This window comes from Homo sapiens, chromosome 20, assembly GCF_000001405.40.
Source record: "Homo sapiens chromosome 20, GRCh38.p14 Primary Assembly".
Lineage (NCBI taxonomy): Eukaryota > Metazoa > Chordata > Mammalia > Primates > Hominidae > Homo > Homo sapiens.
The window spans coordinates 62,299,695-62,326,811 of NC_000020.11; the positions used below are offsets into that span (position 1 = coordinate 62,299,695).

A 27,117-nucleotide genomic window follows, 5' to 3' on the forward strand; every position below is an offset into this window, starting at 1 on the left:
CTTCCATCGTTTGCTAAGTTCCAGCAGGTGTATTTCATTTGCATTTCCCTCATGAATAATGGTGTTGAGCAGCTTGCCATGGTGCCTTTGCTGCCTGTGACCTCTTTGGTGAAACATCCGGAGGTGTCTTCTGCCCACGTGGAGGCGCAGCCTGGGCTCTGCCGCCCACCTTTCACCCGAGGAGCCTGCAGCACGTGGAGAGCATCAGGGTGTGCTTTCTTTACAGTTTGGGGCTTTTTTGAGACAGGGTCTCGCTCTGTCACCCAGGCTGCAGTGCAGTGGTGCCATCACGGCTCACCGCCAGCCTTGACCTTCACCTCAGCCTCCCAAGTAGCTGAGACTACAGGCATGCACCGCCATGGCTGGCTCTTTTTTAATTTGTCTTTTTCTAAAGACAGGGTCTCACTGTCTTGATTAAGCTGGTCTTGGAACTCCTGGGCTTCAAGGGACCCTCTCAGCTCGGCCTCCCAAAGTGCTGGGATTGCAGGTGTGAGCCATCATGCAAGTCTGGGGTTGTTTTTTTTTTGCTAAACAGGATGAATAGAAATCTCTTTTGGGGGATCTCTTAGTCCAAATCCTTTAGCTGAATGCGCGTGTCCCGGTGAGGCTGCTCCTCTAGATGCTGCGGGCATTTTGCAGACGTCCCACCAACTGCCATCAGCGACCAATTAGAAGATAGGGACAGCTGCACATGTCACACAGCCCTTCTGACCTTGTGTGTGCTTCAAGTCCGAGATTCCTGACACAAAGCAGCGTGTGCCCCCCCACCCACTCTGTGGCCACAGCTGGAGTCCTGGGCTGCTGGGTGCTCCAGGTGCCATACCCCACACACGCATAGAGCCCGTGGGCTGGCAGCGGGCACCCACAGTGGCCTCTGCAAAGCCTGCCTGGCTGCGGCTCGTTTCCTCACTGCAGCATGCTCATAGGAATGTGGGAGTTTCGCTTGAAGTGTGGGTAAAGAGTTCTGGGGTTGTTTGAGCCATCCCAGGCCACAGGGCCTCCAGGAAGTGGAGGAAATGGTAAATCCAGGGTCCTCTTGGCCACTGCGTTGGCCTCTGCACACTTGGCCCCTGCGGACCCTGGGGCTTCTGCTTTACTGTCTGTGACATAAACAAGTGACGCTTGCCACCTTCTTGCCGGGAAAGCCAGGCTGGGTTTTCTCATTTCCACCTTTTCCCTGTTTTACACGAGGGCACGAGGATGGGGCTGCAGTATCAGTGACGCACCTGTCACCAGCGGGCCACAGAGCTTTGTGTTAGCCCCTCTCAAGCCCTTTAGCTTCTGGAACCGTTTAAATTCTTAAAAATTATACAGGACCCCAAAGAGCTTTTGTTTATGTGAGCTTTATCTATTGACATTTACCATACTAGGAATTAAGAGGACATTTAAAATTATTTAGCTACATAAAAATAACAATAACAAACTTACTACCTGTTAACACACATTTTAAAATGAAAAGTGGCTACATTTTCCAAAACAAAAAACGTGAATCTTTAGCTCAATCAATGTTTCAAATGGAAGCATTATGACAGTCAAAAGCTGGCAACTAAACATAACTGGCACAAGCTCTGCCACCGAGACAATGGAGGCCTGAGTAGTAGGCTCCCTGCAGAATGAAAGGACTGGAGCTGCCAGCATCAACACCAACGCATCTCCCAACAAGGGTGAGTGAAAACACACACCTAAAGACCTCAGAGAGCACGTAAGCACACAGCTGTGCATCCACTCTGAGGGTGAGCCACCAAGCACACGGTGACCCCGGGGAGCGCCCGAAGGGAGTGAAGTATCTGAAGGAAAGAAGGAAGTGAGCGATGGGCAAAGGAGAACCTGAGGACCCTGGCACAGTCTCAGCTGCAAACATCTAGTCTTGCTTAACTGGGGTGCAGAGGCCACTGCACCTCAGGGTTCTCACGAAGCGCCTGACCTCTCTATTTTATTACTATTATTATTATTATTTTTTTTTTTTGAGAAGGAGTCTTCCTCTGTCGCCCAGGCTGGAGTGCAGTGGTGCAATCTCGGCTCACTGCAACCTCCACCTCCCGGGTTCAGGCGATTCTCGTGCATCAGCCTCCTGAGTAGATGGAATTACAGGCATGTGCCAGCATACCTGGCTAATTTTTGCATTTTTAGTAGAGTCGGGGTTTCATTCACCATGTTGCCCAGGCTGGTCTTGAACTCCTGGCCTCAAGTAATCCGCCCGCCTCGGCCTCCCAAAGTTCTGGGTTTACAGGCGTGAGCCACCGCGCCTGAGCCCTCTAAGAGCCCCCGCCTGGCGTCGCTGTAGGCAAATCCCAAAGAACGTGTCCCTTCAGCAGCCGGCTGGGGCGCCACAAACACTATCTGTTGTCTTCGCTTTAGTTTGTGTCAAAGTGACTCAAAGTTACACAACACTGGCGGGCGACTGCCGCCTTTTTACCCTGTGGCCTTTCCCATCCAGGCGTCCAGAGGGTGAGCCCCTGCCCTCCAGGACCCCTCCCTTCCAGGACCCTACCCGTCTGGGACTCAGGCCTTCCCTGACTCCTCCCTCCCGGACTCACCCCTCCCAGATCCCTCCCCTCCGGGACCCTCTCCCCTCCCGGGCCCCCTCCCCTCCGGGAACCCCTCCCCTCCCGGACTCACCCCTCCCAGATCCCTCCCCTCCAGGAGCCCCTCCCCTCTCGGGACCCCTCTCCTCCCGGACCCACCCCTTCCTGACCCCTGCCCTCCCGGACCCCTGCGGGACTAGATGTATACAGCTGAGACCATATCACGGTTCTCACCCTCGCTCTACCCTCCCGGACCCCTGCTCTCCCGGACGCGTGGACTCCAGCTCCCGCCTGGGTCCCCAAAGCGCTGAACCCATGGTCACTTCTATGCGTAGCCCTGGTGCCCGCCGCCCACAGCCGGACCGCACTCCTCGGCCTCCGCCTAACCCCTGGCTCAGCCACACGAGTGACAGCTCTGCCCGCCCGGGCGGGCGACGCCGAGGGGTGGGCTCGGCCCCACCTGAGCAGTTCCCCAGCGCCCCTCTGAAACCCGCCTGTGGTCCCTGGCGCCGCCTCTAGGGGCCGCCGCCGCTCCCCTATGACACAGCAACAATAGGGGCCGCTCTGGTCCAAGCGCCCTGCGGCCCGCGCTTCCGCCGGAAAAGAGCCGCCGGCGCGGGGGCGGACCGGGGAGGAGCGAGTGCGATGGACGGTCGCCCTCGCCAATCGTTGGCAGGTTAGAGCCGGCTGCGCGGCTTACGGGGCTCAATCGGCGGCGAGAGCGGCAGGCGGGGCGGGCCGAACGCGGGTTTCCGGCGGGGCCCGGCAGGCGCCGAGGAGGAAGAGCGAGCCCGGACGGCGCCTCTCGAACGAGTGTGGGCGCGAGGCAGGTGCGGGAGTCGCCGGGCCTGGGGCGGCCGGGGGCGACCGGAGGCGGGGGCAGGGGCTGCTGGACCAAGGATGGGGCGGGGGCAGCCAAGACGAGAAGGTGGCCGGCGCGGCGGGTGGGGCCTGCGGGGGCCGGGCCGGGCGGGGGTTCTGGGGTCTCGGGCGCCGCCCCGGTTCCGCCTGCGGCTCTGAACGTGGGGCTCGGCGGGAGCTCGGGCGGGTCTGCCCCGCGGAGCGGGTCGCCGGGGTGGCGCGTCGAGGCTGGTGCCCCGCGGAGACGGCGTCAAGCCTAGGGCCGGCCCCACTAGGCTTGGCGGGGCTGCCCCGGCCCAGCGCCGAGTGCGGGCGGTGCGATCGTCGTGAGCGGGGCAAACGCGGAAAGGCAGCCCGGCGTGTCTGAGTCTGCCTTAGGCAGCTCTGGGCGCAGGCCCCCTGCTCGCAAACACCCCAGGGGGCGGGAGCTTGCCGGACCGCAGGCGACAGTGACCGCCGCGTCTCAGCGTCCTCTCCGCGCTTTCAGGATGACGACCTCAGGCGCGCTCTTTCCAAGCCTGGTGCCAGGCTCTCGGGGCGCCTCCAACAAGTACTTGGTGGAGTTTCGGGCGGGAAAGATGTCCCTGAAGGGGACCACCGTGACTCCGGATAAGCGGAAAGGGCTGGTGTACATTCAGCAGACGGACGACTCGCTTATTCACTTCTGCTGGAAGGACAGGACGTCCGGGAACGTGGAAGACGTGAGTGTCCCTGAGCCGCAGCAGCAGGACAGGCGACTTCTCGGGCCCTCGGAGTCCTCGCTTTGGAGTTCGCGGTGGGGGCTTGGCCGCATCTGGGGACCGCTCGTGGGGCCGTCATCGACTGCCCTGCTGATGGGTCGTCCTGGTTTCCGCGGTGACAGGGGCATCTCGGCCACTGTGTATCTTGAACTGTCCGTGTGAGGTGCCTGGGTTGGAGGTGTGGCCCTGGAGAGCCCGGAGCTCTGTGCCTGGCCTTGAACTGTCCGTGTGAGGTGCCTGGGGTTGGAGGTGTGGCCCTGGAGAGCCTGGAGCTCTGTGCCTGGCGGCTTCACTCAGTCTTCTTTGTTTTTCAAACTCTTAGTTGTTCTTTGTTACATTTGAGAGCAGTTCAGCGTTGACTTTTTAACTACTCTGGGAATGTTGTTTCCAGCACGTCTCAGAAACCCCGTTGCCATCTGAAAGGCCCCTTTCCCTGCTCTCTCCCCCGGCCTTGCCTTTCATGGGCTGTCTCTGACCCTGGCTTCTCTGCCTTGTGGAGACCCTGCCAGCGAGGGGTCTGGCGGCTTAGCTGCCCCTTGCGCACCCCACCCGGTTAGACCCAGGGCTCAGTACGCTCTCCTGAGACTGGGCACAGTGATGCCATCTGCGCCACTGACTCTCTCTTCCCCTGGCTTGCCAGGACTTGATCATCTTCCCTGACGACTGTGAGTTCAAGCGGGTGCCGCAGTGCCCCAGCGGGAGGGTCTACGTGCTGAAGTTCAAGGCAGGGTCCAAGCGGCTTTTCTTCTGGATGCAGGTATGGGGCAGGCCTTGGGGTTGTGCCTTTTTGTTGCCCTGCGATTCGGTTAGGAACTTGCTTACAGTGTGGTGCAATTGGCTTTTATAAACCAGCAGGCGCCGGCCACACCCGGCCACACGGCCTGAGATGCCACCTCAGGGCTGCGGTGCATGCTACCTGGGGCCGAGGTCCTCTCCCAGAGTACGGAGGCTCCAGGCTGGGCTGCGGGCAACCGATTGCGGTGTGAAATTTCCAGGCAGACAGACATGCTGGCCCTGGTTCTAACGATGCCCAGTGCCCTCTCTCTGCCCCTTGCCGTGGGTCACTGAGGCCCCCACAGCAGAGGCAGAGGCCCCTGTGTGGCTTCCCTGCTGGTGCTCACAGAAACGAAGCATCCTGCTCACACTTTCCACAGTCCTGCCCCTTCCCTGGCAGTGTGTCCTGGAGGCCAGGGGTGTCAGTGCCCAGGGTTTCTCTTACCCACAGCTGCAGAGCGTCTTTTGGGTCTAGAGGCCGCTGCTCATTCTGCCATCTGTCAGTGACCATTGAGCTTGTTGCCGTTTTTTGTGCTGTTACAGGCAGTGTTGCAAAGAATTTCCCGGTACACAGATCATTTTCCATAAGCCAGTATCATCTGTAGGTGAAAACTGGTGGCGGGCCTGTGGTCAGGAAGCGTGTGCATGCGTTTGCAGTGTGGAGAGAGAAGGCCATGCTCTCTGCCAGAGGTGGAGCTGCTGTCCCCACCCCACCCCCCTTGGCACTTTCAAGAGCAGGGGTGGCCCTGGCTGAGGTCTCTGTGGAGCACATGGTCTGTGTTGCTGGTCACCTGTGCAAGTAGTGTGCAGCGGCCTGAGAAAATGAACAGGCATAGCCAAACTCCAGTTAAACTTTATTTGCAAACACAGATGGCGGCCACAATTTGCCACCTGCTGGTGTAGAACGTGTTTTTCCACGGTTTTGCCAAGAAATAGTGTCCAACTGTTACCACCATCTCCCTTTTTTCCCCGATTTTCCTGTTGGTGGCTTTTAAGTCCCCCGTCCCTGCTTTGCCATGAGAGCAGGGACTCCCAGTGTCCCTGGCGCCCTGCAGCTTCCATAGCCATTCGGGGTGTGCGTGGGTGCTCTGCTCCCAGCTCTGTGAGCTCGCAGGTCGATGCTTCTGACACTGATCTGTGCACATGTGTGTGCACACGCGTGTGCTCGATTGTGAGCGCCTGCCGTGGCCCTGGGCCGCGGTGTGCTGAGCGGGCCAGTTCGCTGCCTTCCACTGGTTGAAGGAAGGAGACGGGTGTGTAAAGAACCGCACCCCAGAGGGCAGGAGGGTGAGAGGGCTTGGTCTGGCAGCAGCTAAGTGCCTTCGGAGCTCTAGGCTCCCCATTTGTGAAATGGGCGGAGGGGGACAGGGCACACCCGGGATTGCGGCGGATGGGGACAGGGCGCAGAGCATCGTGCTCAGGAGGCGCCACTGCCGTCCCCTCACCTGCTGGGCCGGGTCCTGTCTCCTCAGCATTGTGTGGCCAGGCACACGCGCCTCTGCGTCTCAGGTCCCTCACCTGGAAGCCAGGTCAGAGGATGGCTGTGGTGGCCCTGGGTGAGCTGGCGCCAGCTCCTGCCCTTACATGCCCTTCCTCTTGCAGGAACCCAAGACAGACCAGGATGAGGAGCATTGCCGGAAAGTCAACGAGTATCTGAACAACCCCCCGATGCCTGGGGCGCTGGGGGCCAGCGGAAGCAGCGGCCACGAACTCTCTGCGCTAGGCGGTAACTGTCACATGTGTCACGTGAGCTCAGGGTTTCCTGGGAGGCCAGAGTCTACTGTGGATGACTCGCCCCCTCAGCACAGGTTGTTTGGAAGTGGAAATAGAAGATTCTAAAAGTTAGAGACCCTGTGAGCTCCCTGGGTCACTCCCCACTCCCACCTTCACGGGGTAGGACGGGTCTGCATCCCACCGTCGCCTCACTTCAAGTGGTGCCCCCTGTAGGGTTCAGGGGCAGCCGAGTGCGGTGCTCAGCAGAGGCGCAGGCAGTGCGGTGGGGCCCGCGTGGATCTGGCTGGGGCAGGCCCGCCTGAGCTGCAGTGTTTTCCAGGTGAGGGTGGCCTGCAGAGCCTGCTGGGAAACATGAGCCACAGCCAGCTCATGCAGCTCATCGGACCAGCCGGCCTTGGAGGACTGGGTAACGTGCGCCACCCGGGCTCTCGGGCAGCTTCTGCTGGGAATGCTTTGAGGCCCGGTCTCTGTTTCCTTTAAACTTCTGCTGGCTCTGTCTGCGTAGTGTCGGGGAGCCTGTGTGTCCGCAAGCTGGTTCCCCTTTGGGAATGCGCTTGTTTGCCTGTGGCTAGAGCTGGGTAGGCGAGGGCTTCTGGGCCCCTGGTGAGGACCCCAGCTGGGTACTTCAGAGGAGGGTGGCTGGCCGAGCGGTGGGGCTGGAGGACTGGAGGGAGCTGGGGTTCCTGCGCCCTGGGTCCCCTGGCCCTACATGGCTGCCTGCCTGCTGCCAGCTCATGGAGTGCAGACCCGTGTGCTTGGCCCTTCAGAAATGCTTGTCCCTTTGGGTGGGATCTGGACTGAATCTTCTAATCTAAGCACATGAATTGTGTAATGGGATGGAACAGAAATGACCTTGCTTCCAGAACACAGCCGCAAGTGTCCACCCGCCCCACGCCGCTCCTCCAGGCCTGTGGGTCCCCACCGCCCCGCTTCTTCCTGGCTTTGGTGTTGGGAATTCCTGCTCCTCTGGCCTGGGGAGGGGCCAGGCTCTTTCTGGTGGGCTAGAGGGCATCCTGAGCTCGCATTTCCTTGCCCCTCGCAGGTGGGCTGGGGGCCCTGACTGGACCTGGCCTGGCCAGCTTACTGGGGAGCAGTGGGCCTCCAGGGAGCAGCTCCTCCTCCAGGTGAGCCTCATCGCTCCTGCCACGCAGGTGCCACGGTGTTAAGGGAGGGGCAGTGGGGAATCCTGGCCCAGCACCCTGGACCCTGCGAGTAGGCCCTGCCGTGTGGGGCGTGTCCGCTCCAGCGGTGCCCTCTCTCTTCGCAGCTCCCGGAGCCAGTCGGCAGCGGTCACCCCGTCATCCACCACCTCTTCCACCCGTGCCACCCCAGCCCCTTCTGCTCCAGCAGCTGCCTCAGCAACTAGCCCGAGCCCCGCGCCCAGTTCCGGGAATGGAGCCAGCACAGCAGCCAGCCCGACCCAGCCCATCCAGCTGAGCGACCTCCAGAGCATCCTGGCCACGATGAACGTACCAGCCGGGCCAGCAGGCGGCCAGCAAGGTAACGTGTGCTGTCGCCTGGAGCTGGGTGGGGGGCATGGGGCCTGCTGACCCTCGCACGCTCACCTTCCAAGGCATCTGCCTAGTGTGCGCGCCTGGGGTGCTGGGGCCATGGGCTGAGTCCCTGCTTGCATGCCTTCCATGTGGGCACTTAGGCTGTCATCGAGCTGATGGCCGTGTTCTTGTGCCCCAGTGGACCTGGCCAGTGTGCTGACGCCGGAGATAATGGCTCCCATCCTCGCCAACGCGGATGTCCAGGAGCGCCTGCTTCCCTACTTGCCATCTGGGGAGTCGCTGCCGCAGACCGCGGATGAGATCCAGAATACCCTGACCTCGCCCCAGTTCCAGCAGGTAGAGGCCGGGCCCAGGGTGTCCTCCACTGTGTGCTCAGGGAGTGGGCAGGGGGGAGGAGGAGGCCCTGCCCCACCTTCACCATGGCCAGTGCTTCATGTGCCTGACCCGCAGAGCTGGCAGCTGAGCAGTGTGGCTCTGGGGTGCAGCCCGGGTTGGAGCTCAGCCCTCGCCTGGCTCTTCTTGCAGGCCCTGGGCATGTTCAGCGCAGCCTTGGCCTCGGGGCAGCTGGGCCCCCTCATGTGCCAGTTCGGTCTGCCTGCAGAGGCTGTGGAGGCCGCCAACAAGGGCGGTAAGTGGCTGCGCCTGCACCTCCAGGCCAGAGCCAGGGGCAGGGTCCATTCCTGTCCCCCTGGATCTGCAGAAGTGGGGCTGAGGGGGTAAAGGTCACAGCCCTTCTGCCCTTGATCCCATCGCTTTGATCCCCAGTTCTGGGCAAGGGTTAGACACCACCTTGTGTCTTTAACGTGTTCTAGATGTGGAAGCGTTTGCCAAAGCCATGCAGAACAACGCCAAGCCCGAGCAGAAAGAGGGCGACACGAAGGACAAGAAGGACGAAGAGGAGGACATGAGCCTGGACTGAGCCACGCGCCGTCCTCCGAGGAACTGGGCGCTTGCAGTGCGTTGCACACCCTCACCTCCCACCCACTGATTATTAATAAAGTCTTTTCTTTTACCTGCCAATGCTTAGTTTCTTTGCCCAAAGGGAGTTTCGGCTGGACAGGTGCTAGCGTGGGGAGCTGCTGTAGGGTCCCAGAGACAGTTAGTTATTTGACCTAACAACGGAAAACGGTCACCCCAGGAAGAGTTTGGTGCCTCTGTCCAGGCCGGTTCCAGATCTGTCTTGAGACTCACTCTCTCCGTATTTAAGTCAACATTCATTCGGTTACACAGAAGTTACTTTTTAATTTTTAAGGAGGAACCAGTGATGATTGGTGACAAATCTCTCACAATTAAAAATGGGTGGAAGGGCCAAATATAAAAACATTTTGCAGTATTTTATTCTTTCGTTTAAGAAGCTATAACTTAAACCATCTTCAGAAACAAGATCTGTCACCCGTAGAGCTTAGAGTCCAAATAGACACCTATGAGGCGAGCACAAGGGGCGGTGTGAGGCAGCTGCAGGGGCCTGACCAGGGGCCGGGGTTGGCTGTGTCCTAGGCGGCTGGGCAGCCACTGGCCCCCACTGCCCCGTGGACCTCCACAGAGCGAGTCATGGCGACGGGGGACCGGTTCACCGCCAGCCTCCTCATGCAGCCGCAGTAGGCGGGGGGCCAGGGCTGCACGGCCATGGGCTCTGGGGGCACAGGGAAGATGGAAGAAGGCTGGTTGGTGGGCAGCTAGAGACCCACAGGCCCTTCCCAAACGTCAGTGCCCCACCCAGCCCCTGTCTCATTCCACATCATAGGAGGGTGGTAGGGGGGTGGGAGGAGGGTGGGAGGGGGCAGGGGGTGGAGGGGTGGGGGGAGGGTGGTAGGTTACGCAGCACCTAGTCCTGAGGGGCAGCTCCCCCACCCTTGATCAAGGCCGCACTCACCAGGCAGGCCCCCGAGGTACAGAGGGGCTGGGGCACCAGCTGCAGCCGCCAGCAAGGGGCCCACGGTGTGGTTGCTCTGCGCGTCCACCTCCAGCCGGAGCACATTCCCGCTTTTCATCACTGGGAGAAAGGGGGACTCCTGAGGCCAGGTGGTCCTCAGCCCAGCCTCTCTCCAGCCCCAAAAGAAGCCACCCCACCCAGAGTCCCGCCTGGCTCCCGCTCTGCAGAAGGGTGGGGGTGGCAGAGTGCCCTGGCCACAGGAGGGGCCTCACCCGCTAGCCGGTGCCACTGGCCATCACACAGCACTGAGGGGCGGGTCACTGACGTGGAGAACTCCCCTGCTCCGTCATCCGCCCGCAGCAGGACCTGGCGGGGTAGGAAGGGAGGGTCAGGCTATGCCCCCGAGGTCACCAGAATGGGGAGGCAAACCCTGCCCTGGCACGCCACCTCTGCCAGGCTTACTTGCTTCTCGGTCACCTGCAACTGCAAGTAGGGGGGCGTCCGGGCCTGGCCCAAGTGGAAGATCAGTCCGGTGACTGCCAGGGGCCGCACCTCCAGTTCCAGGCCCACATCAGGCAGTGTAGCTCCTGGGAGGTCTGCGGGGAGGGGTTGTGATGGAGAAGAAAGGGGGGGCCCCTCCCCAGAACCTCCTGGAGCCCCCTGCCCTGCCCTGCTGAGGCCTGGGATGCCAGCACCCACAGACCTAAAGTGATAACTCCCCCGCTGCCTGGGAAGAACAGGCCCGCCTCCAGGGGGCCCAAGATGCAGGGTGTGACCCCTGCCATCCGTGTGGGGGCCCCCAGGGGCCTCCCGTGCAGCCTCAGTCTCTTCACACAGCCGCTGAACCCGACGGTCACCTATAGGAGCAGACCGGGCAGGGATCAGGGCCCAGGGCAGCTGAAAGGGAACAGTGGGTGGGGAGTGGGGGCTGGGGCAAGATGGTTCTCACCGGAAGTTTGGAGCTGTGGCTGCTGGCCGGGAGGCCGCCCACAAAGAGGGTGTGGGGCTGGGGGTGCTCTGCCCCCTGGTGCTGCCGGTGCGGCCCCTCCTGGCTCCAGGCCCGGGCCCCGTCCGTCACCAGCAGGATCCGGTTCTTCTCCCAGCGCACGGAGACCTGGGGGCAGGAGATGGGTCAGGGTAGGGCTGCCAGGCCCTGCCCACCACCTTCCTTCTTCTCGGCCCTCACCTTGTGCCAGCGGCCAGGCCGGGAGCGCTGGCGGCTCTGGGCGCGGAGCCGAGTCCCGAGGCCTTCCATCTGTGCAACGAAGTGGCCATTGCTCAGGAAGAGCGCCAGGGAGGGGCTGCCGGGCCTCAGACGGGCAGTGAAGAGGAGGAGGCCTCGGGAGCTTCGCGGGAGGACGTGCATGGAGAGACTGGGCCTGGAAGCGGAGCTGGCGTCAGCCTGCGCGGCCCCTCTCAGCCCACCCCAGCCGGGCCTGGCCTTACCAGTTCCTATGTCGGGCCAGGATGCCCACAAACTCCAGGTGACTGGACAGGGAACCCCCAAACTGGTAGGAGTCTCGGGTGGTCCTGAGGTGTGGGGGCAGCATGCAGGCAGGATGCCGGGCGGGCTGACGGCTGCGGCGGGAGGCCTGGGGGCGTGGATGGTGAATGCAGGGGCCGCCCACACAGGGGCCACCCTTCCAGCCACCCCAGCTCTGCCTGCTCACCCCTGGGGTGCCCACCTTCCGGGCGGTGGCCTGCAGTCCTCTAGGCCCCAGGCCCGGGGTCTGGGCTTGCAGGGCGGGTGCACAGCCCGTGCTCACATTGACGCTGCCCAGGTTCTGCTGCAGATCAAATACGCGCTGTGGGCCCAGGAGCCTGTGCAGGGCGGGCAGGCGGTCAGCAGCTGCGGAAGGCCAGCTGGGACCTTGTCCCCCAGCGCCCACCAGGCTCACCGCTGCACGAAGACGTTGCTGATGCAGCCACTGAAGTTGTAAATGGTGCCAGACTCAGGCAGGCCTCCCAGGAGGAGCCTCGGGGGCCCCTCAGGCTGCGGCTGGAGCTCGGGGGGTGGTCCCCGGTGGGGCTTCATCTGCTGGAGCTGGTCATCGACATACAGCCAGACTCTGGGGGGCGGGAGGCCGGAGGCTCGGTTTTTCCCCACCCTGCCCACCCCCACCTCAGAGGAGACAGAGGTCCAGGCAAGTGCAGGCGGGCGTCCCTCCAGACCTTCACGATGAGGGCCCAGCGGCCAGGCTCACCCCGTGGCATTGCTGTAGAAGGCGACGTAATGGGGGGCACCATCGGCGAAGCCCGCTTGAGTTTTCACTTCAGTCCTCAGGAGCTGTAGGCTCACACGGCCCTGCTGCAGGGACACCTGGCATAGCCCATCCTGGGGACGGCAGCCAGGTCAGCCGGCCGGCCTGGGGACCCAGACTCATTCCAGACACCCCAGTCCCAACTGCTCCGACGGCCACCGCGGGGTGGGGAATGGGCACGGGTGTGAGGTCTCACCGGGGACGCCCGGTAGTAGAGCAGGGCACTGTCCTGGGCGCTGTGGAAGCCGAAGCCGGAGTAGACGTTGCCAGTGAGCGGTGCCACGTTCGAGAGCGCCAGGCGAAGGAAGCCGTGGCCATGGAAAGTCATGGCGCGCCCCACCTGCGGGGAGGCCATCCCTGAGTGCCCGCGGGTGCCCCTGCATGTCCACAGATGCCACCCCCAGCCCGGGGAGGGCTGCTCACCAGCAGGTCGGCGGTGCAGCCGGCGCTCACGCCTGTCGTGTTCAGCCGCTTGAGGTCCACATACTTGCCCAGGGCCTTGATGCCTTTGACGCAGCCACGGACTGAGCCTCCGGTGGGGAAGAGCCGTCGCAGGCTGTGGGGAAGCGGGGATGCGGGTCAGGGCGCCACCTCCAAGCCCAGCCTACCGCCCCAACAGCCTGGCCTCGGAGCCCCAGCTGCGCACAGTGCTTACCTCGGGGGCAGCTGGTCGGGCGGCACGCCCCCCAGGTAGTAGGCGTCGGCCAGCTCCAGATCATTGTCCTGCTCCACGCTGTACACCGTGGCCCGCTCCACACGCACCAGCACACGCTTGCGGCTGCCCCCCAGCAGGAACACCTGGATCTACAGGACCAGTGGGGGCTCCAGGGCCAGCTGTGTCCCTGCGGCCTGCCCCGCCCCCATCGTTCCATCTCCTCTCCCTGCCACCCTGGTCCCCACCCTGGCCCTACCGCCTTGCTGGCCGAGGTCAGGGGCGGTGGGGGCTGCAGTGGGACGGCCTTTTTCAGGCCAGCCCCAAAGTCATACAACAGCACGAGGCTGCCTTCTTGCACGGCCAAGCACAGGAACTGGCTCTGCAGAAACAGGGCAGGGTTAGTGTGGGGCAGGGTCAGTGCAAGTGGGGATGGCAGGACGGGTGTGCCTGGCGCACCTGCTGCTTCAGGAAGAAGAGCACCCCGCTGTAGGACACGAGCCGCAGCTCCTGCTCGAAGCGCTTGGTGGTGCTGATCTGACTGTCGAAGCTGATGCGGGCGAAGCCGGTGCCGTCCAGGTAGGAGCCGTCCGTGAGCCACGGGTCCCCGGTCGACTTGGAGCTGCAGGTCGGAGATTCTGGGGTCAGCGGAGGGTGGGGTGGGGTGGGTGGAGACGGGGAGGGCAGGCCACACGCACCGGGCACAAGGCCTGTCCACAGCCGTGTCCAGCTGGAAGGTCCTCTCGAAGTTGTAGAGGCTGACCACCTCCTCATTCAGCGTGTCCATCTCGATGCAGCCCCGGTAGCCGGGGAAGCGAAGCAGGGGAGGGGGCTGTGGGCACAGGGCTGGGTCAGGGCACCTGGCCTGAGGCGCCTCCCCTCCAGGATGGACCAAGGGGACTTCAGACTACAGCAGGACGGACTGAGGCAAGATACCAAAAGAACCCGCGGCTCTCCAGGACACAAGCGACTCGGGGCTGCGGAGCCCCTCCCAGGCTGCCCCAGGCCGGGCGGGCTCACCGTGAAGGTACTGGGGTACCCCCCGACGTAGAAGACGAAGTCGTCTGGCCGCAGGTTGAGCAGCCCCTCTGCCCCAGGGGCCACCGTGTCACCCTTGGTTTCCTGGATCATCTGTCTCTCCACTGTGACGGACATGTGGCCAAACTGGAGAGTCCTGAGGGCAGAGGCGAGGGGTGGCGAGTGGGCACGGAGAGATGAGGGGTGGCGAGTGGGCACGGAGAGATGAGGGGTGGCGAGTGGGCACGGAGAGATGAGGGGTGGCGAGTGGGCACGGAGAGACGAGGGGTGGCGAGTGGGCATGGAGAGACGGGTGGCGAGTGGGCACAGAGACGGGTGGCGAGTGGGCACAGAGACGAGGGGTGGCGAGTGGGCACGGAGAGACGAGGGATGGCGAGTGGGCACAGACGAGGGGTGGCGGGTGGGCACAGAGACGAGGGGTGGCGAGTGGGCACAGACGGGTGGCGAGTGGGCACAGAGACGAGGGGTGGCGAGTGGGCACAGAGACGAGGGGTGGCGAGTGGGCACGGAGAGGCGAGGGGTGGCGAGTGGGCATGGAGAGGTGAAGGGTGGTGGGTGCACACGGAGAGGGGAGAGATGGCGAACGGGCAAGGGCCCTGCAGTTGGAGGCATCCGGCCTCTCTCCTGGGCCTCCCACCTGTCCAGGCTGACAGCTGCGAACTGCTCCCCAATGTCCTCATCGATGCTTAGGACTGCAGGGCCCGCCTCACCCAGCTGATACACCCAGTGCACCTTCTTGTCACGCAGAGACACACCCATGTAGTCCCCAGTGGCCTGCGGCAGTGACAGACACACAGTCGGGATGGGGACCGGGGACCAGGGACCAGGCACCGCTCATTTCCAAACAGAGCCTGAGCTCGGGCCGCATCCACCCAGCCAGCCTGGTACCTGGCGGCTGCCCATGTACATCACAAAGCGATCCTCGGTACCCTGCCCAGGCTCAGGCTCTGGGCCCTGCAGGTAGAACTTGAGGGCAGTGTAGGCAGCAAGGTCGGCAAGATCCCGTGGGGTGCGCAGCTGCACCCCTGAGCGCCCGTTGAACTTCATGGGCACCTTGACCTGCGGGGCACGGTCCATCAGCGTCCACCACCACCCTCCCTGATGTCCACCTTCCCCTGGGACTCTCACCCACCTTACTGGCAGCCCCCCGGGCCTGGGCAATGAGCTCTCGCACGCGGCCAATGCTGGCGGACAGGGCCAGGCTGGCGTTGTGCACCCCACGGTTCTCCAGGATGCTCAGCTTGGCCAGCAGCTGGGGCAGCGTCTTCTCCAGGGTGGACACTGCAGAGAGGGAGACCTGAGACCTTTGCCCCCCACCGTGCCCGCCTCCATCAGGGGCACCGCGAGGGCCATGGGCGCACCTGAGTGGCCTGCGTCAAGCACTGCCTGGCCCAGGTCCTGGCCCCGCAGGCCCTCGTACTGGCCCTGCCACCGCTCCACATTCTCCTGCATGGCCTGCAGCTGGGACTGCACACGGGTGGCGGTGTCCTGGGCTTCAGCAGCCACAGCCTTGGCATGTGCGATCTTCTTGCTTGTCTCGTCTGTGGTGGGCAGAGGGCAGGCTCAGCAGGGGCCAGCGGGGACCATCCTGGCTTCATGTCCCCAAGTCTTTCTGTTGGGCCAGCAACAGGGACATCCAACCCCCTATGGATCGTGTGAGACCCTCACACCCCGCTGCTCAGTGCAATCCAAACCCATCCTAAATGCCTCCACCAGACGCCCCCTCCATGCCAGGACAGGCACCCAGCCTCTCAGGCCACAGCTGGTCCCTGGACATGTGCCCCATGTCACCTCCCACCACCTGGCCCCCACCATCTCTCCTGGGCTTGCTGGGAACAGTCCGCAGCCACAGGGGTCCCTCAGAAACTGGGTGAGGCACATCGTCCTCTGCTCCAAGCCTCTCAGGGTGGGAGCCCTGGTCCTCACCGCCCAAGGTCTTGCCAGCCCCTTGGTTCCAGCCACGCTGACCACTGTGCCCTCCTGGGTGCCCTTCCTGCAGGGTGTGCCCCAATCCCCCCCAAGGCCTACAGCCCTCCCACCTATAACTCCATTTCTACCCAAAGCACTTCCAAGCTTGCCAGGCTCCCGACGGCTGGGGCTGTCTGTGCTATCTGCAGCCCTGGCACCTCCCTGGTAGGCTTTCTGTGTCTGGCCCCAGCTGCCCACTGTGGGGGTCTCTTCCACAGCACAGTGAGTGCTCACCAACCACATGTGGCCAGCGCCACTGTCACAGAGCCTCATGGTCGGCCGGCTGCGAGAGCCGGGCCCAGGCTCCGCATACCTGTGTCCATGGCAAGCATGGCCTGCGCCGCCTGGATGTGCGCCTCCAGCTGGTCCTTCTTGGCCCGGACATCTCGGAGCTGGGTCCTGGCACCCTGGAGGGCAGCCCACACTGCGGGGGAGGCAGCTTCAGCTCCCAGGCAGCTTCACCCCCAGTATACAATTGCAGCCCACCTCCACCCTTCTGACCCCAGGAGGACCAAGGCTGACACACAGCAGACAGATGGACAGGGACACTCAGACATGGAGTCCCTTAGCCTGTGGGGAGGTGTTGAGTCTCAGCGTAGCCTCTGTTCCCTGAAGGCCTCTGGTCCCACTGCAGGCATAGCTGTCCCCATTGTACAGATGAAACAATAGAGGCTCAGAAGAGACAGCCCTCTGGTCCTAGCAGCTCACACCTTTCTCATTGCGCAGCTTGGCACGCGTGTAGCCCTCGGGTCAGCAGAGCAGAGGCCACGTATCTCTTGCCCTGTGCCCTGTGGCTCAGCTGGTGCCTCAGTGGCAGCCAGTGCCTCGCAGGAGGCTGCTCCTCCCTGGACTCCCCTGCAGGGCTCCCCGGGGCTGACACACAAGCAGCTGGGGAGCCATCTCCAAAGCTCTCCCACCCCAAACCATGCTGCGGTGACCCACAAACCCCACGTGTGCATGTGGCTGGGGGCTGAGGGTCCCTGGGAGCTCAGATGCCCAGCAGGCCTAAGGGCCCCCATCGGAGCCCAGCACTCACCAAGGCCCAGCCTCTGCTGTTCCTGGAGCATGGCCTCTTCTAGTGCAGTGCTGTTGGCCAGGAGCTGCTGGGCTCGGTCCACCAGGCCCTGCCGCACCACCGTCTGTGGATGCCAGGGCAGACCGTGGCTCAGACACGCAGGCCGGGGCTGCGGGAGGTGCAGGCAGTGGGGGCGCTCCTGCTGGGGCTGAGGGGAAGTGAGGGGCCTCACCGCCCACGTGTGGTCCGCCTGCTGCAGGGCCTGGCCAGCAGCATCCTCGGCAGCCTGCACGGCCTGCAGGATGCGGCTGTAGGCGTTGGAGGCCTCGATGGCCCTCTGGGTGAGGCGGTCCTGGTTGACGTCCAGGATGATGCTGCAGCGGAAGGGAGGGTCGAAGGAGTGGGTAAGCGCAGACGCCCTCGGCCTGGCTCTCCAGCCTCCTGCGCTCACAACCAGCCGTGCCCGTGCCTGCCCGCCAAGTCCCGCCTCCAGGTCTTTGCCCGTGCCTGTCGCCTGCTGGGTGTACTGCTCCTGTCACTCTGGGCCCCAGCTTGCCGTGGAGCTGAGGAAGGCCTGGCTTCTTTGAGGACAACGGCCTCAGCCCCTAGGAGCCTTCCCAGACCAGCTGGCCCTCCCAAGGCCCTGTCTGCATCCCCAGGGTGGGCCCAGGGCCCCTCCTCTCCTGGCCACCCACCTGGACAGATTGAGTGCCAGCTGGCCCAGCTGCTGTGCGTGGGCCTCGGCGGCCTCCACTAGACGCAGCTTGCTGCCCGCCGGGGAGAAGGTCTGCATCCTCTGCAGCAGTGGGGTCCGAGCCCCATCCAGGCTGGCGGCGAGGCGCTCCAGCTCCTGGAATTTGAGTGGACTTAGCCCCTCATCCTGCTCACAGCCACCTGATCCACGACCCTGAGGGCGGGCTCTGCACGCAAGTGTGCACACAAAGCTGCCCACGGGCCTGGGAGGGAGTTGGCCGTGGATGGGGTGGCGACAGGGGCCAGGGGCTGCACTCACCTCCTTAGCCTGGTCCAGGCTGTGCAGCAATCTGAAGACGCTGGCCAGGGTGTCCCTAGCCGCATGCAGAGTGGCCTGCAGGGTGGCATTGTCCCGGGACAGCTCCTGCTTCCTTTGCTGAAGGCAATGCAGGGGAGTTGGGGACAATGAGGGGTAAGAAAAGAATAAAGGATGTGATGGGGTGGACAGCAGGGCAGGGAAGGGAGAAGAAAAGAGGGGGAGTATGGGGGGTGAGGAGGGGGGAGGAGGGGAGGGTTAGAACGTGTGAGTATGAGGGAAGGAGGAGGATGGAGGGGTAGAGAGAAAAGTGGGGAAGAAGAGAAAGGAAGGCGGAAGGGGGCAAAAGGGGGAGGGGACAGGGAGGGGGAGAAGAGGAGGAAAGGATGGGAGGGGGTGAGGAGAGATGGGGAAATGAGAGGAGGAGAAGGGGAAGGAGAGAATAGAGGAGGTGGGGAAAGGGATGAGGATTGGGGAGGGACAAGGAGGGGGAGGGGGATGATGGGCAGATGGGGAGTGGGGAGGGAGAGGACAGGAGAAGAGGACAGGAGAAGAGGGAGGAGAGAGGAGAAGGGGAGAGGGGGAGGAGGAAGAGGAGGAGGGGGAGGGGAGTACGAGGGGAGGGGAGGAAGAGGAGGAGGGGGGGAAGAAGAGGAGGAGGGGGGGAGGACGAGGGAGGGGAGGACGGAGGGAGGGGAGGACGAGGGGAGGGGAGGGGAGGAGCCGGAGAGGAGAGGGATTGCAGGGAGGAGGCGGGAAGAGGAGCAGGAGGAAGAACAAGTCCGGGGTCCTCACCAGGGCTTCCTCCAGGCGCTCCTGGTTGCGGCTGTTGAGCTCCTGGGCCTCCCGTGTGGCGTCCACTGCCCGGTTCAAAGCCTCTCGCAGGTCCATGAGGCCGGCCTCGTGCTGGGCCAGCCGGTCGCGGGTTTGTGTGGCCAGTGCCTGGTTCTCCTCCCAGAGGCTGCTCAGCTGCTCCTGCACCCGGGCCAGCACTAGCCGAGACCAGGGTGAGGGTGGTCACTCTGGAAGCCAGGCCCCTTCATGACCCCTGGTCTCCACTTGGTGCCCGCCAGATCCATCTGCCCCGTGATGCCCACCTGATGCCACTCCATGCTGACCTCCCCCTTGGAGCTCCCAGGTCCCTGCCTCTCCCCACCCCGCCTGCCAGGGACAACACCACTCACATCTCTGTGCTGCAGCCAACTCAGCCTCAGCTGCTGCCTGCGGGGCCCCCAGGTCCCGGGCCCGCATCTCCCAGAGCAGCCGCTCCACCTCGGCCAGTGTCCGGAGCAGCTGCTCACCTGATGGAGCCGAGGCATTGGCCAGCCCCAGGTGGCCCGTCTGGGACATGAGCTCTGTGGGGCAGGGGTTCGTCAGAGCCTGGGGCCGCCCGTACTAGTGCACCTCTGCCTGCTGGCTTCCAAGCCCAAGACCCCAGCCCTGCCATCCTTGGCAGGCCAGGGGCCCGGAACCTGAGCGCACCTGGGTGGCCCCTAGAGCACCTGGCGAAAGGCCACAGCTGCCTCACCTGCCCGGCCCTCACCTCCTGCAGTGCCTCCAACACCCTGACACCAGTCTGCTCAGCCAGCTTCTGAGCCTTCTCGTCCTGCCCCTCTCCGCCTGGCCCACCCTGCTCCCTGGCCAGCTCTCTCTGACATGGCACCCCCTGCCGACCCCCAGGCTGGGCTGGCAGGTCCTGTTAGGCAGGCTCAGGGAGCCAAATCTCTCCTGAGTCCCATGTCTCAGTGTGCACTACGGGATATCTGTGAGCGCGAACATCTAACCGGCACATTTCCTGGGGAGGCTGTCGAGGGGTCTGACGTCTCCCGGGGCCACCTGTCTGGCCACACGGCTGTGTCGCCGACCTCCTGACCCTGCCCTACTGTTCACTCCAGAGGCGTCGTCTCCCATCTAAAAGACAGATCCTGCCTGTTCTTCCAGGCCAAGCTCGGCCAGGCACCCCCACCCCTACCCCAGGCAGCCCTCCTGGCTCTGAGCCCTGAGCCTGGCTGGGCTGGCCCCTACCGCTCAGGGTGCGGTCCACAGCCCGGATGGCCGCCAACAGCGTCTTCGCATGGCCCAGTGTGGCCTCGGTGCCGGCCAGCAATTGGCTCGCCTGGTCTCGGGTCCCCACGGCCTGTGGAGGAAGAGCCCACTAGCCCACGCTGCTGGTAGGCGAGGGTCGGGGTGGCAAGGGAGGGCCTGGGGTCTGGGGGAGCGCCGAGGGTCCCAGGGAAGAGGGGCCCCTTATCTATTTAACTCTCTTATCTGATGACTTGTTATTTATCACTTGTTAGTTACCTAAAATTATTGGTTATAACTTGCCATTTGTTATTTCCTGTCAATTTAATGAAATAGTTACTCATTAAGACATTTGAGGCCGGCCACAGTGGCTCACGTCTGTAATCCCAGCACTTTGGGAGGCTGAGATGGGCAGATCACCTGAGGTCAGGAGTTCAAGACCAGCCTGACCAACATGGAGAAACCCCATCTGTACTAAAAATACAAAATTAGCTGGGCGTGGTGGCGTGTGCCTGTAATCCCAGCTACTCAGGAGGCTGAGGCAGGAGAATCGCTTGAACCCGGGAGGCAGAGGTTATGGTAAGCCGAGATCGAGCCATTGCACTCCAGCCTGGGCAACAAGAGCAAAACTGTGTCTCAAAAAAAAAAAAAAAAAAAAAAAAAGACATTTGAGTGATATTATACACTGTAAACAAATGTATTAGGTAGTTTAGATAGTAATTCAGTGACTTGGTCAACCCCTAAGACTCTCGAGCTCCTGTCCCCTGCACTGACACATGTACGAGGCATGAAGTAACATCTGCTGAATGAGGACAAGCGAACCGCGGGGAACACAGGTGAAAGCCTCCCGGGGCCCTGGGGGGTCTTGGGGCTCCTGCCTGGCCGCCTAGCCGCCGTGCGTCCTGCCCGAGGCTTGTGCTCTGCTGCTCCAGCACCTCCAGCTGCTGTGCCGTCTCATGGCGGGGGCCCAGGGGGCTCCGGAGCTGGCTCTGTGGGAGGCGAAAGGTGAAGGCCTGCACTGGCCCGGGTTGGGGAGGGAAGGCCAGGACGCTCAGTACCTGCAGGTCAGCGATGGAGGCGTTCAGCCTGTGCAGACGGGCCCAGGCCATGGAGCTGGCATTGATGCCACGCAGTTGCTCGTGAATGGCGGGGAGGAGGGCGCCGGCCCGTTCCAGGTCATCCAGGAGCAGGACCACACAGTGGTCACACACTGCAGGCGATGTGGGGTCACAGGTCAGTGTCATTGGGTCAGGCCAGGGGAGAATGATCAGCTGGGGCCCTGGGGTCATTAGGGTGGGGAGGGCTCAGCCAGAGGTCATGAGGTCAGCTTAGGGACACAGGACCTGTGGGGAGGTCCCAGAGTTCTGGCAGAGTCATAGGGTCAGGTAGGAGTCAGATGGGAGTGAAGGGCATGGGGTCACCCAGGGAGAAGGTAGGGCCAGCACAAGGGGTTGGGGCCGGAGGTGGGGCCAGTGAAGGGGCGGGGCCGGTGGAGGCAGGGTCAGTGAAGGGGTGGGGCCAGTGGAGGAAGAGGGGGCCAGTGGAGGAGGCGGGGCCTGTGGAGGGGTGGGGCCAGTGGAGGCAGGGTCAGTGAAGGGGTGGGGCCGGTGGAGGAAGAGGGGGCCAGTGAAGGTGTGGGGCCAGTGGAGGAGGTGCAGCCAGTGGAAGAGGTGGGGCCAGTGGGGGTGGGGTCAGTGGAGGGGTGGGGTCAGAGGACGGGTGGGTTCAGAGGACGGGTAGGGTCAGTGGAGGGGTAGGGCCAGCAGAGGGGTAGGGCCAGCAGAGGGGTGGGGTCAGTGGAGGGGTGGGGTCAGTGGAGGGGTGGGGTCAGTGGAGGCAGGGTCAGTGAAAGGGTGGCGCCAGTGGAGGAAGAGGGGGCCAGTGGAGGCAGGGCCTGTGGAGGGGTGGGGCCAGTGGAGGTGGGGTCAGTGAAGGGGTGGGGCCAGCGGAGGAGGTGCAGCCAGTGGAAGAGGTGGGGCCAATGGGGGTGGGGTCAGTGGAGGGGTGGGGTCAGTGGGGGAGGCAGGGCCAGCAGAGGGGTGGGGTCAGTGGAGGGGTGGGGCCAGTGGAGGGGTGGGGTCAGTGGGGGAGGAAGGGCCAGCAGATGGGGTGGGGCCAGGGCACACAGGAAGGCTAGGGACAGTAGAGGGGTGCAGCCAGCAGTGGAGCTGCAGCGCTCCTCAGCGTGGTTGGAGTTGGACAGGCATGGGTCTCTCGGGAAATGGAAGGCAGCTGGGACCACTCTGGGAGGTCGACGTTAACACTGGGGTCACCAGGCTGTGTGGGACTTGGATTCCTACTCCATCAGGTGTGGGGAAGTGGGGTGTTGAGGACACACCTTCACAGTGGATGCTGTGGCCCACAGGCCCGCCTGGAACAGGCACCTGATGCTGCTGGCTGCAGGTGTCGCAGCGCTCCCCGCTGAGCCCCGGGGGGCAGTTGCAGCGGCCCGTGTGAGGGTCACAGCGGCCCCCAGGGCACTGGCAGCCTGTGGTGGGGGGCTTGGGTGAGCATGGCTGGCCTGGGACCTTGGAGCGTACCCCACTCAGAAGTCCCCATCCGCCCTCCTGTGACCGGCCAGCACTCACGCCTGCAGCCCTGCTCAGGGAGCCCCCAGTAGCCAGGGGCACACTCGCGGCACTGGGGTCCCATGGTCCCTGGTCGGCAGTGGCACTGTCCGCTCTGGGGGTGGCACTCGGAGCCCTCGGCGGCCGGTCCACAAGCACACGGGCGGCAGCCCCCGCAGCCATCGAAACCAAAATGTCCCTCCTGTGGCACAGGCTGGTCACTGCCCTGCCCAGCCCTCAAGACTGTCCCAGACCAACCTGGAAGCCAGGGGTCCTGCCCATCTGGCCCCACCCCCTGAGGCTCTGCCCATCAAACACTGCCCCTCAGCCCCACCTATCAGATTCTCCCCAGGCCCCAACTCTAGTCCCTAGGCCCCACCCACCCAGCCCTGCTTACCCCACAGCCCTACCTGGCAGCGGTCACAGCGCCGCCCAGTCACGCCCGCCTTGCACAGGCAGTGCCCGCTGTGGGGGTCGCAGGCCTCTGTCCCACATGGGGTACAGTCGCACCCTGCAGAAGGGGTCCGTGACTGCAGCCCTGGGCCCTCTCACCCCCCCAGGGAGCCCCTAGGCACCCTCCTAAGCCCTCACTTCACTGCCTCCTGCTGTGTCTCCTCCAGGCCGCCCGGACCACCCGGCTACCCACTCGTGTCCCAGCCTGGCCCCACTCCCCAGCTGCCTCCCCTGGGCCCGAGGGACCTGCAGACTCCCTGCCATGGCCTGCCCTGCTCTGACGGCTGGTGTCCGCTGCCAGTGGTGGGGCATTGGTGGTGGTGTCTAACCATGAGGGGGGACTGATTGTGGGGGGAGAGGGGATGTGATCGTGAGGTGGGGGGGGCGCTGGTCATGGGTTGGGGGGAGGGTCTGATGGTGAAGGTGGGGGCCTGATCATGGGTAGGGGAGGGGGGATGTGATCCTGGTATGGGGAGGGTCTGATTGTAGTAGGGAGAAAGGGTGTGATGGTCCGGGGGAGGCCTGATGGTGAAGGGGCCTGATCGCTGGGGCGGGAGGGCCTGATCGCTGGGGCGGGAGGACCGGATCATAGCGGGGGAGAAAGGGTTGACCATGAACCCAGAAGGCTGGCTCCGACTTGTCCTGGCTGGGCCCCAGCATCAGGCACACAGCCTACTTACGGGGTACGCCCAGCAGGCCTCCCTCCTCCCCGCGCAACCCTCCCCAGGGTGCATCCCTCCCAGCCCGACGCCTACGGGTGCAGTTGCCGGGCAGCAGGGCGTTGCCGTAGAAGCCGGGGGCACAGATCTCGCAGCGGGGCCCAGTGGTGTGGCGCAGGCAGCCACGGCAGGCGCCCGTCAGGGGGTCGCAGTCGCTGAAGAGCAAGTTGGGGTCACCGTTGCCGCTGCAGTCGCATGGCTGGCAGGAGCTGCCCAGCACCAGTGGGTTCCCAAAGAATCCGGGCGCACACCTGGGAGCAGGGTGGGGAGGGGCCGTCAGTGGCCCGTGGCGCCCACCCTCGCATATCCTGGGGTCAGCACTCAGGCCCTGCCCCACTGCCCTAGCCCCAGCTCACCGCTCGCAGGAGGCACCTGCATAACCAGGTTTGCAGAGGCACTGGGTGCGGCCGCCTCGCAGGACACAGCCCTCGGCGAAGCTGCAAAGACCAGCAGCGTCAGTCACTAGGCCCCTGGCAGTGCCCGGGCCCGGGCGAGCACACTGTGCTCCGGCTGGAACACACGCCAGGCGTCGGGGGCCCAGACCTCACGGACACCTCCAGCTGTCCAGGCCTCTGCAGAGGGCAGTGGGAACCCACCCCGCTGCTGGGTGAAGGGAGCCTGGCACCATCAGGGCCTCGTCCCGGGAGGAGGCTGGCTTACTTGTTGGAAGGCACTGAGAGGGGGCAGGGGCAGCTGACACAGGGGGCGCTGGGGTCGTCCCTGCTGCTCACGAAGCCAGCCTGGCAGCGCTCACAGTGGGCCCCTTCGGTGTTGTGCTGGCAGTCCTGGGGCAGAGTGGACAGTCAGAGCTATGGTGGACACCCACATCCTACTGCCGAGTCTGTGCAGCTCCCACCACCCCTGCCTCAGACTCTGTGCCCAAGGCCAGATGGTCCCCCACTGGGCAACACCCTTCCCCAGACCTCAGTTGACCTGGAAGTGCAGCCCCTGGTCTTCCCTGGCACACTTGACTGTGCCTTCAGTGAATGCTGCCCCCCTGGCCCCACCAGCCCCTACTCACCACACAGACGCCAGAGCCAGGGAGGCAGCGGTCTGAGTGTCCATGGCACTGACAAGGGACACATCGGCCCAGGAAGAGACCTTTGACGTCCCGATAGAAGCCGGGGGCACATTCCTGAGGGTGTACGGGGGCAGGTGGCATCAGCGATTGAGAGGACGAGGGGCCCCACCCTGCAAGCTCACAAGTCAGACCCTCAGGGATCCTGCAGGCACGAGGCACTGGGAACCCGTGGAGCATGGTCACCGCTGGGTCAGAGGCTGGTCAGGAACTCCTGGCCTCGGCCGGCTGGAGGTGGGCCAGCACCTGGCTGCTGTTTGAGGACATAGCTCTCAAAGCCACACGGATGTCCTGTCTCGGGAATGACCAGGCCTTGGGGCTGGTGACCACCCACTCCATGTGGACCAGGGCCTACTCTTTCCACTCCTTCTAGGAGGTATTCAACCACAAACCTCCTCATACAGAAGGAGCAAAGTTACAGCAGACAGACAGATTAGCAGGGCAGATTAGCAGCTGGACAGACACACAGTGGGCGAGGGATGGGCAGAATGACAGGCAGACGCCAGGATGGTCGGTGGGGGATGTCCAGGTGACCCAGTGGTGGGGGCTGGGGTAGGTGGGAAAGGGGTATGGAGGGTGTGTGCATGGAGGGGCAGGCGGATGAGGGGCAGGCAGGCGGACGAGGGGCAGGCAGACAGGCAGCAGGGGACAGGCAGGCCCATGAGTTGGCCAGCAGCCTGTGAAAAGCAGGGGCAGGAAGAGAGGTGAGTAGGGTGACAGGAAGTGGAGGCAGCAAGGAAGGGAACACAGGGAGGATGCTGGAGGGAAGGGTGTGCACAGGTGAGCCGCCTCGCAGTCTGGTGCTGTCCTAACCTCACCTGGCATGAGTCCCCCCGGTAGCTGGCGGGGCACAGGCACAGCTCCACATTGCTGGCCAGGGCCCCCTGGCCTGCTGGGCTGGCCACCTCCAGTGCCACCCTGCGCAGGAAGACAGCCGAGGAGATCTGTGAGAAGAGGGCACGGATCTGCAGCTGCTCCAGGCTGGCCAGCACCATCATGAGCTCCTCGCGGGACACAGTGTTGCGCGTCTCCGTATGCCGGAAGTTCCCCTGTGGGTCCAGGATGGCACCTCAGTGGGGCCACACTCAATGGGACAGAACAGGGAGCCTAGAACAGACCCCCCAACCCTGTAGGGGATGGAGGGGCACAAAGACCATGGGGCAGGAGGAGGTACACACAGGTAGAAAAACCAGTCTCCCATGAGGCCAGCCAGCACCTAGATCCCTGCCTCACACCACACATCAAACCAGCTCCAGATGCCTTAAGAATTGAAATACACAAAGAGAACAGCCAAGCTTCTAGAAGAAAACATAGGCAGGTCCTTTCTGATCAAGTAGTGACAAATACTTTCTTAAACAAGATGCAAAAACGCTTGCTGCCAAGGAAAAAAGGATAAATTCAAGTACATTAACTATAAGGCCGTTCATCAGAAGACAGCTCAGGCTGGGTGTGGTGGCTCATGCCTGTAATCCCAGCACTTTGGGAGGCTGAGGTGGGAGGATCACCTGAAGTCAGGAGTTCGAGACCAGCCTGGCCAACACGGCGAAACCCCATCTCTACTGAAAATACACAATTATCAGGGTGTGGTGGCGGGTGCCTATAGTCCCAGCTACTTGGGAAGCTGAGACAGAAGAATCGCTTGATCCTGGGAGGCAGAGGCTGCAGTAAGCCGAGATTGCACCACTGCACCCCAGCCTGGGCGACAGAGCAAGACTGTCTCAAAAAACAAACAAACAAAAAAAAAAAAACAAAGAAAAACCAGATGAGCTGTGAGAGGGGAGAAGACGGTTGTTACTCTGAAGTCTGACAGAGGGTAAGCACCAAGAATAACAAAGAACTCTAAAAGGATGGAAAAAGATTTGCAAGTCAAAGAGAAATGGGCAAAAGATGCTAACAGGCAGTGCATGGAGGAAGCCAACAGCTACTGAGCAGCTGCTCACCCCTCAGGGATCAGGGACTCACAAAGCAGGTGGGAAGACAGCATGACACCCCCCAGGGTGACCAGCACAGAAGATATCTGACAATGGGTGTGGGGACCTCCCCAGCCCCCACCCCGCTTCTGCTCCTGGGCTGTTTTCCACCACGGAGAATGGGCACAGCAGCACTGGGACCCCTTCCGGCCTTCCCAGATGAGCTGAGGTCCATGAGGGACCTGGGTGCCCAAGCCAGCTCCCCTCACCTCCACCAGCTGCAGCTGCCCACGGTGAACGTGGCCAGGCGTGGGGTATGCCGGCTCCAGGAATGTGATGCTCATCTGGTTGCCCTGGGAAGGCACATGGGGAGGTGAGGGTTGGCACGGGCCTGGACCACGGTG

General features: G+C 63.2%; 2 protein-coding genes across 14 annotated transcripts in view, besides 5 other annotated features; one reads left to right on the forward strand and one right to left on the reverse strand.

Annotated features, from left to right (window-relative positions):
* Positions 2,813-2,932: a silencer, noted in NCBI's record as "silent region_13106". NCBI's record gives its function as "represses an Ori minimal core promoter by ATAC-STARR-seq in GM12878 lymphoblastoid cells {active_cell/tissue: GM12878}" and the evidence as "EXISTENCE:reporter gene assay evidence [ECO:0000049][PMID:35858748]".
* Positions 2,953-3,412: a silencer, noted in NCBI's record as "silent region_13107". NCBI's record gives its function as "represses an Ori minimal core promoter by ATAC-STARR-seq in GM12878 lymphoblastoid cells {active_cell/tissue: GM12878}" and the evidence as "EXISTENCE:reporter gene assay evidence [ECO:0000049][PMID:35858748]".
* Positions 3,202-9,168, forward strand: ADRM1 (ADRM1 26S proteasome ubiquitin receptor). 6 transcript variants are annotated; one of them, NM_175573.2, is given in 10 exon segments: positions 3,202-3,351; positions 3,874-4,087; positions 4,767-4,883; positions 6,503-6,626; positions 6,954-7,040; positions 7,677-7,758; positions 7,902-8,134; positions 8,327-8,484; positions 8,674-8,776; positions 8,961-9,168. In NM_175573.2, coding segments are annotated over 9 exon segments (1,224 nt in total). In that variant the 5' UTR covers positions 3,202-3,351; position 3,874; the 3' UTR covers positions 9,068-9,168.
* Positions 6,092-6,595: an enhancer, noted in NCBI's record as "H3K4me1 hESC enhancer chr20:60880842-60881345 (GRCh37/hg19 assembly coordinates)". NCBI's record gives its function as "activates a minimal SCP1, AML or CMV promoter by ChIP-STARR-seq in naive H9 embryonic stem cells {active_cell/tissue: H9 hESC(naive)}" and the evidence as "EXISTENCE:reporter gene assay evidence [ECO:0000049][PMID:30033119]".
* LAMA5 (laminin subunit alpha 5) overlaps positions 9,371-27,117 on the reverse strand; it is a 58,248-nt gene continuing 40,501 nt past the window's right edge. For 3 of the 8 annotated variants that reach the window (XM_047440149.1, XM_047440148.1, NM_005560.6), the window contains 41 exons: positions 26,983-27,066; positions 25,622-25,852; positions 24,747-24,860; positions 24,386-24,510; positions 24,082-24,162; positions 23,762-23,976; positions 22,964-23,064; positions 22,575-22,755; positions 22,325-22,474; positions 21,045-21,196; positions 20,865-20,975; positions 19,990-20,101; positions 19,149-19,319; positions 18,760-18,956; positions 17,968-18,084; positions 17,651-17,805; positions 17,188-17,329; positions 16,977-17,079; positions 16,254-16,364; positions 15,334-15,513; positions 15,105-15,253; positions 14,861-15,031; positions 14,610-14,746; positions 13,955-14,108; positions 13,633-13,766; positions 13,394-13,556; positions 13,194-13,316; positions 12,938-13,086; positions 12,706-12,838; positions 12,479-12,622; positions 12,226-12,356; positions 11,920-12,090; positions 11,707-11,842; positions 11,468-11,613; positions 11,208-11,400; positions 10,971-11,135; positions 10,725-10,878; positions 10,484-10,617; positions 10,294-10,387; positions 10,022-10,141; positions 9,371-9,781 (listed from right to left, as the gene is read on the reverse strand). In XM_047440149.1, coding sequence (XP_047296105.1) covers positions 9,642-9,781; positions 10,022-10,141; positions 10,294-10,387; positions 10,484-10,617; positions 10,725-10,878; positions 10,971-11,135; positions 11,208-11,400; positions 11,468-11,613; positions 11,707-11,842; positions 11,920-12,090; positions 12,226-12,356; positions 12,479-12,622; positions 12,706-12,838; positions 12,938-13,086; positions 13,194-13,316; positions 13,394-13,556; positions 13,633-13,766; positions 13,955-14,108; positions 14,610-14,746; positions 14,861-15,031; positions 15,105-15,253; positions 15,334-15,513; positions 16,254-16,364; positions 16,977-17,079; positions 17,188-17,329; positions 17,651-17,805; positions 17,968-18,084; positions 18,760-18,956; positions 19,149-19,319; positions 19,990-20,101; positions 20,865-20,975; positions 21,045-21,196; positions 22,325-22,474; positions 22,575-22,755; positions 22,964-23,064; positions 23,762-23,976; positions 24,082-24,162; positions 24,386-24,510; positions 24,747-24,860; positions 25,622-25,852; positions 26,983-27,066 — 5,874 coding nt within the window. In that variant the 3' untranslated portion in view covers positions 9,371-9,641. Of the gene's footprint in view, positions 9,782-10,021; positions 10,142-10,293; positions 10,388-10,483; positions 10,618-10,724; positions 10,879-10,970; positions 11,136-11,207; positions 11,401-11,467; positions 11,614-11,691; positions 11,843-11,919; positions 12,091-12,225; positions 12,357-12,478; positions 12,623-12,705; positions 12,839-12,937; positions 13,087-13,193; positions 13,317-13,393; positions 13,557-13,632; positions 13,767-13,954; positions 14,109-14,609; positions 14,747-14,860; positions 15,032-15,104; positions 15,254-15,333; positions 15,514-16,253; positions 16,365-16,976; positions 17,080-17,187; positions 17,330-17,650; positions 17,806-17,967; positions 18,085-18,759; positions 18,957-19,148; positions 19,320-19,754; positions 19,876-19,989; positions 20,102-20,864; positions 20,976-21,044; positions 21,197-22,324; positions 22,475-22,574; positions 22,756-22,963; positions 23,065-23,761; positions 23,977-24,081; positions 24,163-24,385; positions 24,511-24,746; positions 24,861-25,621; positions 25,853-26,982; positions 27,067-27,117 lie in introns of those variants that run through there. The other 5 variants (XM_011528819.3, XM_011528818.3, XM_006723796.4 and 2 more) reach the window with 3 other exon arrangements.
* Positions 21,557-21,616: a silencer, noted in NCBI's record as "silent region_13108". NCBI's record gives its function as "represses an Ori minimal core promoter by ATAC-STARR-seq in GM12878 lymphoblastoid cells {active_cell/tissue: GM12878}" and the evidence as "EXISTENCE:reporter gene assay evidence [ECO:0000049][PMID:35858748]".
* Positions 21,759-22,053: an enhancer, noted in NCBI's record as "tiled region #11098; K562 Activating non-DNase unmatched - State 14:Gen5'". NCBI's record gives its function as "activates a minimal TATA promoter and a strong SV40 promoter by Sharpr-MPRA in K562 cells {active_cell/tissue: K562}" and the evidence as "EXISTENCE:reporter gene assay evidence [ECO:0000049][PMID:27701403]".

What these genes read in the sequence shown, in the direction of transcription:
- ADRM1 (NM_007002.4), top strand. Translation starts at nt 3,875, where the DNA reads ATGACGACCTCAGGCGCGCTCTTTCCAAGCCTGGTGCCAGGCTCTCGG. An exon ending in AGCCGGCCTTGGAGGACTGG is followed by an intron (nt 7,041 to 7,676) that starts GTAACGTGCGCC and finishes TGCCCCTCGCAG; the next exon opens with GTGGGCTGGGGGCCCTGACT. An exon ending in GGAGGCCGCCAACAAGGGCG is followed by an intron (nt 8,777 to 8,960) that starts GTAAGTGGCTGC and finishes AACGTGTTCTAG; the next exon opens with ATGTGGAAGCGTTTGCCAAA.